The 7,039-nt window shown below is 41.8% G+C and overlaps 2 annotated features.

The window, feature by feature from the left end:
• Positions 783-1,077: an enhancer, noted in NCBI's record as "tiled region #6496; HepG2 Activating non-DNase unmatched - State 9:DNaseU". NCBI's record gives its function as "activates a minimal TATA promoter and a strong SV40 promoter by Sharpr-MPRA in HepG2 cells {active_cell/tissue: HepG2}" and the evidence as "EXISTENCE:reporter gene assay evidence [ECO:0000049][PMID:27701403]".
• Positions 2,735-2,784: an enhancer, noted in NCBI's record as "active region_28484". NCBI's record gives its function as "activates an Ori minimal core promoter by ATAC-STARR-seq in GM12878 lymphoblastoid cells {active_cell/tissue: GM12878}" and the evidence as "EXISTENCE:reporter gene assay evidence [ECO:0000049][PMID:35858748]".

Genomic DNA, 7,039 nt, shown 5'->3' on the forward strand with positions numbered 1-7,039 from the left:
AAAAGTGATATATGACATAAGGTCTGTTCCTAAAACTCACAAGAACCCTTGGTTCATCCCAGAGGGTCTATTCTGCTATCTGTGGACTCAAGGGATCACAGAGTTCCCTCAAGTTTTCTAAATGCCTCAGAATTGGTTATAAGAAACAATTTTAACCACAAACACATTTAATCTTCCTAAATTTTGCATTCACAAGAGGAGAGGATCATGCCTTTGAAGATATAATCTATGTGAAACAAATATGGGAAAAGATTTGTTTTGGACAGGAAACAAACATATCTACGTCTAGTTTCCAGGTTCCCCAGTGGTCTTTCTGCTTTCCACCCCCTAATTCCCCAGTGCTATGTAGGGGTTCTCTGTCTATGCTGGCTGGCTTTCTTTAGAAAACAGAGGAGTTAGGATGAAGAATGACCCCTTGCCATCACCGTAAGTATGTCCCAGGCTCCTTTTACCTTTTCCCCAACCTTCATATGCCCCCTAGATAGAACTCGGTTTGGGAAGTTGATATTTGAGTCGCATTTGTTGAACACATGTTCAGTGCAAAATTTGCAATCATAAAAATTCCAACTTTCTGCTCAGTAGGAAGTGGAGAAATTTGGAAAAATTTAGTTCACTGGGCTAAGATTTCCCTGCCAAAGAGTTAGATTGTTGGCTGTGTGAACTAGGGGAATGACTGAGGAACAAAATCTTTAATATTTGTATTCAGGATGACTGATTCCGAGAGACAATACAGGGTAGAAACAATATGTCCACGAAAGGAAGGTATTAATTTTGATATCCACTTGAGTATTATTTTACTGGATAATTGACATCAGGAAGGTTAGGGTTACAAGAGCAGCTTGCAGGCTTAGCTGAAAGCAAGGCCTGTGTCATGGTGGGGCAGGAAGCCAATAGGTAGAAGTCAGTGTGCACTTGGTCCATTTGGTGTTTCATCATCACTCGACTGCACTAATGCTTAAAGAATGTGCTTCGCATAGTTTGCTGTCCACATCATTTATTTTCTCAAAACACATCTATTTCTTGGAGAACTCATGATTTCAAGTATCTGCTTTTGAAAGTCTTGAGCTATTTATGAAACACAAGTCATTCTGCAGAAGATTCAGACTAAGGGACAATTATTGCTACTCTGTAGGTAACATCTTTTTTTTCCTCTAGATTCTTTCAAGATTTTTTCTTTACCTTTGATTTTTCACAGTTTGAATATCATATGTATATGTGTAGTTGTGGGGTGTTTTTTGGCATTCATCCTGCTTGGTGTTCTCTGAGCTTGTTAGATCTGTGGTTTGGTGTCTAACATTAATTTGCAGAAAATGGGGAAGTATCATTCATTACTTCAAAAACTTCTTCTATTTCTTTCTCTCTTTATTCTCCTTGTGGTATCCCCATTATACCTATTATAACTTTTGTAGTTGCCCCACAGTTCTAGGATATTCTGTTCTTTTTTTCTTAGTCTTTTTTTTTTCTTTTCAGTTTCAGAAGTTTCTATTGAGATATTCTCAAACTCTGCATCTTTTTCCTCGTCTATGTCTAGCCTACTACTCAAAGGCATTCTTTATTTCTGTTAAAGTGTTTTTTATCTCTATCATTTTCTTTTCATGCTTTCTTGGAATTTCAGTCTCTGTGCCTACATTTCCCATCTGTTCTCACACATTCTCTACTGTGTATCCACTAGAGCCCTTAGCATATTAGTCATAGTTGTTTTAAATTTCTACTCTGAAAATTCCAACATCCCTGACATATTTGAGTCTCATCTTGCTTGCTCTGTCACTTCATACTGTGTGTTTTTTTCCTTCTAGTATGCCTTGTAATTTTTTTCTTGATATCTGTTCATGATGCAGTAGATGAAAGGAACTGCTGCATAGAGGCCTTTAGTAACATGGGGGAAAAGGAGGCTTTTTATGTTCCTATGATTAAGTGTCAGTCTTACAGAGAGTCTGTACCTCTGGACTCTGAACTTTACACATGCTTCTCAATCTTCTTCCCGTCCTTCAGCAGGACAGGATGGCCAGTGTGTGCTGCAGTTAGGTATTTCCCTTTCTCCAGGTTGGTTAGACTCTGGTAAAATCTGAATAGTTTAGGCTCTGATAAAAAGTTTCTCTTGGTTGGGCGTGATGGCTCACACCTGTAATCCCAACACTTTGGGAGGCTGAGTTGGGTGGATCACGAGGTCAGGAGATCGAGACCATCCTGGCTAACACGGTGAAACCTTGCCTCTACTAAACATACACACACACACAAAAAATTAGCCGGGCATGGTGGTGGGTGCCTGTAGTCCCAGCTACTCAGGAGGCTGAGGCAGGAGAATGGCGTGAACCTGGGAGGCGGAGCTTGCAGTAAGCCGAGATCGCGCCACTGCACTCCAGCCTGGGTGACAGAGCAAGACTTCGTCTCAAAAAAAAAAAAAAAGTTTCTCTTGAGGACAGGCCTTGTTAAGACAAACAGGATGGTCTGGCATATTTCAAAATGCTTCATTTCCCCCTCCTTCTACCAGAAGCATGAGGGGATTTTCCCCTGATAATCACTGTGAGAGCCTGCTTGAGCTCCTGGAATTAAAACTCGCCAAAGTATGAGTGTCTCCCATGACTGGGTAGTCTGGAGTTTCAACTCTCAGAGTTGTACACATTGAACCTTCCAAAATGCATCAATTACTGTTTAGGTTTTTGCATCCTGGCACTGGTTTTGGTAGAGGCTTTTTCTCCTGGGTTTCTGCTTCCATAAGTAGTGATTCTCTGTATTTGCCTGTCTCTCCAGTTTGAGGACAATGGTTTACCCTGTGACTTCACTTCTCTGAGGGATCTAAGAAGAGTTATTGGTTTTTCAGTTTGTTCCGCTTTTTAGTTCTTCTTAGGGTGGAGTTGTAACTGCCAAGCTCCTTATATGCCAGACCAGAAAGCAGAAGTCACTACTATCTGAGTTTAAGGATTTTTATCACCCCAAAATGAAACCCTTTGTTTTGTTTTTTAGTGTTTTTTTTTTTTTTCTTCTCTCTCTGCTTTTCAGTTTTGGAAGTTTCTACTGACATATCTTCAGGCTTAAAGATTCTTTCCTCAGCCATGTCCAGTCTACTAACGAAGCCATCAAAGGCATACTTAATTTCTATTACAGTGTTTTTGATTTCTATTATTCCTTTTCTTTTTTCTTAGAATTTCTTCCTTTATGCTTTCATTGCCCATTTGTTCTTGCAGGTTGTCTACTTTTTCCATTAGAGCCCTTAGCATATTAATAATAAATGTTTTAAATTCCTGCTGTAAGAATTCCAGCATCCCTGCCATATATGATTCTGGATCTGATGCTTGCTATGTCTCTTCAAACTGCGTTTTTTTTGTTTGTTTGTTTTGTTTTGCCTTTTAGTATGCCTTGTAATTTTTAAAGCTGGATATGATGTAGTGGATGAAGAGAAATCCAGTAAATAGGCCTTCAGTAATTAGTGGTAAGGTCTGAGGGAGGGAAAATATTCTACAGTCCTGTGATTAAGCCTCAGTCTTGTAATGAGCCTGTGCCCCTGGGCTGTGAATTTCACAAGTGGCTCTCAGTTTTTTCCTGCCTTACATGGGACAAGACGGCTGGAGGAGACTGGTATTTGGTATTTCCCTTCTCCCATGGGGAAAGCTAGAGAGAGCTGCAGTTGGGTATTTCCTTTCCCATAGGTTGATTAGGCTCTGATAAAATCCCAATAGGTTAGGATCTAGGAAAATAGTTTCTCTCGAGGGCAGCATTTGGGTTTGAATACAATTTTATTTAGTTGTGGACCATCTCAAAATATGCAAACATGCAATCCCCACTCAAAAAGTCATTCCTTCACCATCTAGTCAAAGAACTTAGTTAATAAATTAGACAGTTAAATACAATTTCAGTACATTCCAGCATATTTTAGAACAATATATTCAGACATTAGTACTAACAAAATAGTGTCCTAATAGTTTTTTTTTGCATTGGCAGAGAGCTTCTCATTCTAAAGAGCTGTTTCTAAAGTCTCGTTTCATGAAGCTTTGCAACATAGTCTCCTTATTTTTCCTAAGGACATCTTTTACCAGCCATAAAAAATTGGAGAAAGTTTTTCTTCTTCCTTCTTCTCCCTCCTCCTCCTCCTCCCTCTCCCCTCCCCCTCCTCCTTCCCCTCCCCATCCCCCCTCCTCCTCCCTGTCCCCCTTGTTCCCCTCCCCTTCCTTCTCCCCCTCCTACTCTTTCTCCTCCCCCTCCTCCTTCCCCTTCCCCTCCTCTCCCTTCCCCTTCCCCTCCTCCCCTCCCCCTCCTTCTCTGAAGGCAGATGCTCTTTCTCAGAACATGGCCCAGAAAATGCTCCTTTACTTTTGTGATAGTTTTAAATATATGTTCTCTCTTCTCTGATTTTCTCCCAATGATTAAATGTCACCATATGTGCCAATTCTCTGATGGAAGATTCTTTCCTCTTTCCTTTCTGCCTCTATGTCAGCACCATCCTCTGGCCTGAGGAGCAAGAACAAAAGTCCATGGGTGTCTCCCAGGAGGCAGCCGATCTGAGCATCTGGAATCAATTACTCAGGGCTGGTGTGGATGCTCATCCTGGGAGTCAATAGACAGTGCTGGGCAGGTGGAGGAAGGGAGTACAGGGTCCCTCTTAACAGATGAAAGTAAAATAAAAATGTCTAAGTCACTTTTCTTCAACAATTAAAAGTTACTATTAGTTGGGTGAGGTGGTGCATGCCTGTAGTCCCAGCTACTGGGGAGACCAAGTTCCTGGGGAGATCGCTTGAGGCCAGGAGTTCAAGACCAGCCTAGGCAACATGGTAAGACCCCCATCTCTACCTCTAAAATAATGATTATTAACTATTAACTTATCTCTTTAAAATGCTGTAGAAGTAACTTTTTTTCTTTTCTTTTTTTTTTTTTGAGAGAGTCTTACTCTGTCGCCCAAGCTGGAGTGGAGTGCAGTGGAGTGATCTTGGCTTAATGCAACCTCTGCCTCGCGGGTTCAGGCAATTCTCCTACTTTAGCCTCCCTAGTAGCTGGGATTACAGGTGTGAGCCACCACGCCCGGCTAATTTTGTATTTTTAGTAGAGACAAAGTTTCATCATGTTGGCCAGGCTCATCTCGAACTCCTGACCTCAAATGATCCACCTGCCTTGGCCTCCCAAAGTGCTGGGATTACAGGCATGAGTCACCATGCCCGGTCTCTACATGTAACTTCTAAGAAACATAAATTTTTTCATAAGTATATTATTGTATAAATTTGTATTGAATAAGTTGTGTCATATTGTATAGATTATATTAGTACAGGTGTGTGTCTGTGTATCTACATATCTCTCACCACAGAATCTCCCACTGTGGGCCTTTGTGGCAAATTCATGTTATGCTAGGGTTCCAGGTACTAATCTTGAACCTTAACCATCAGCTGCAGCTGGTAGTCCATTCAAGGCAAAGTGTTTACTAGTCTCAGTTATGGCCTGTTGATTATTCCATTGTCTTTGACAATGAAAGCCATCCGTTGATCCTGTCTTAGTTGAGATTTCCCCCAGAGTAGGTCCTGTGTTAGGAGTTTGGGTGCAATGAATTTGAGAAGTGATGTCATAAAGAACCACAAGAGAGTGCACAAGCAAGACCACCAGGAGAGAGAAGCCAATAAAGGGTACATTCGCGAGCAAGTTTCACTGATAACAGCTGGGGCTGAGTCCTGCTCTGGGGGCCCTAGAGAGACCTGTAGGATGAAACTCAGGTTTATCTACTGAGGGCCAACAGCAGAAGCGTGTATCCACGGACTCCTGTCCCCCACTGGTCGTGTCACTCCTGAGGCATCAACTCCTGGTTTTTGGCTGGTGGCCAGGGAATGCTAGAAGGGTGCAGGGGGCTCCTGCCCTGAACTGCCTGCAGCAACCCCCTGGGTGGACTAGTGGGTATGGAACGTGCAGCGAGGCACCTCCAGCAGGTTGAAGAATAATTATAGAAGAACACAGTCCCCAAACTGTCTGTTCTGAGTCTGTAGTTCTGTACAAGCTGTGTGGTATGTGCCTGGTGTTCTGGCAATTCATCATCTGTAGTAGGAAGTGAGCAATCTACACAGAGAAGACTTAACTCAGGAATGGAAACGATAACATCTACAGGAATGTGCATCTAAAGTGTGGCTTTCGTAATGAGACAGACATTTCATCCAGTTTTTGTACCTGGTCTGAGACTCTTCCTGTCTGCTGGAAATACATCCCCTCATTGCCCAGAGACAGAGAAACCCCAGTCTAAGTTCAACTCTCCTAAAACAATTTAAAAAAAAAAAAAGTGCAATAATTAGGTATTCTTTCCTAGATTAAGGCAGAGTTTTGAAAAGAGCGGTGAGAGAACAGTTTTTTAAAAAAGAAAACGTGAGCTGTGGATTTTATGATACTTTTAGTCTCAATCATGTCAATATGAAGAATTACCTTCCATGAGATAAAATGCTTATAACCATAGGGATAAGCAAGCCTCACTGTATAGATGTGCGGATATTTGTACACGTGTATCTGTGTACACAGCGTCAAGATAAAACCATTTTGAGATTTTACATGTGTACCCACGTATGTGTAGAGACTATGTTTTTAAAAATATTAGGATTGATTTTACCCAATTGACATAAACATTTGTGTGGGGTTTTCCTCTTTATTCAGCAATGATTGAGTTGGTTGGAGATGCTGAGACATTAAACACACACACACACACACGCACACGCACACACACGTATTAGTTAAATTTGCTACCCAAACTGATTCCTTTTGAGTTTAAATATTTTGTATTTCCAGCAGAGCCGCCACTTGTCAGAGCCCATCATGGGTATGGGGCCAGTTTGCTTTTTGGTCATTGGGTCTGAGTCACAGGGGAGGGAATGCATATGTTTCTGGTGCAGTAAGCCAGGGTGGTCTTTCCTGCTGACACTCTCCAGGTTTACAGAAAGGCATCACCTAAAGCACCTGAGGATGGCATGCAGGGCACTTTGAGAGCCAGGTGTCAGCATCTCTTCTCAACTCCAAGTTCAGTGACAAAAGCAAGCTGGTCCCTTTTGCTAAGACTGCTCAGATTCCTAGAATATAACCATTG

This window comes from Homo sapiens, chromosome 9, assembly GCF_000001405.40.
Source record: "Homo sapiens chromosome 9, GRCh38.p14 Primary Assembly".
Taxonomy (NCBI): Eukaryota; Metazoa; Chordata; class Mammalia; order Primates; family Hominidae; genus Homo; species Homo sapiens.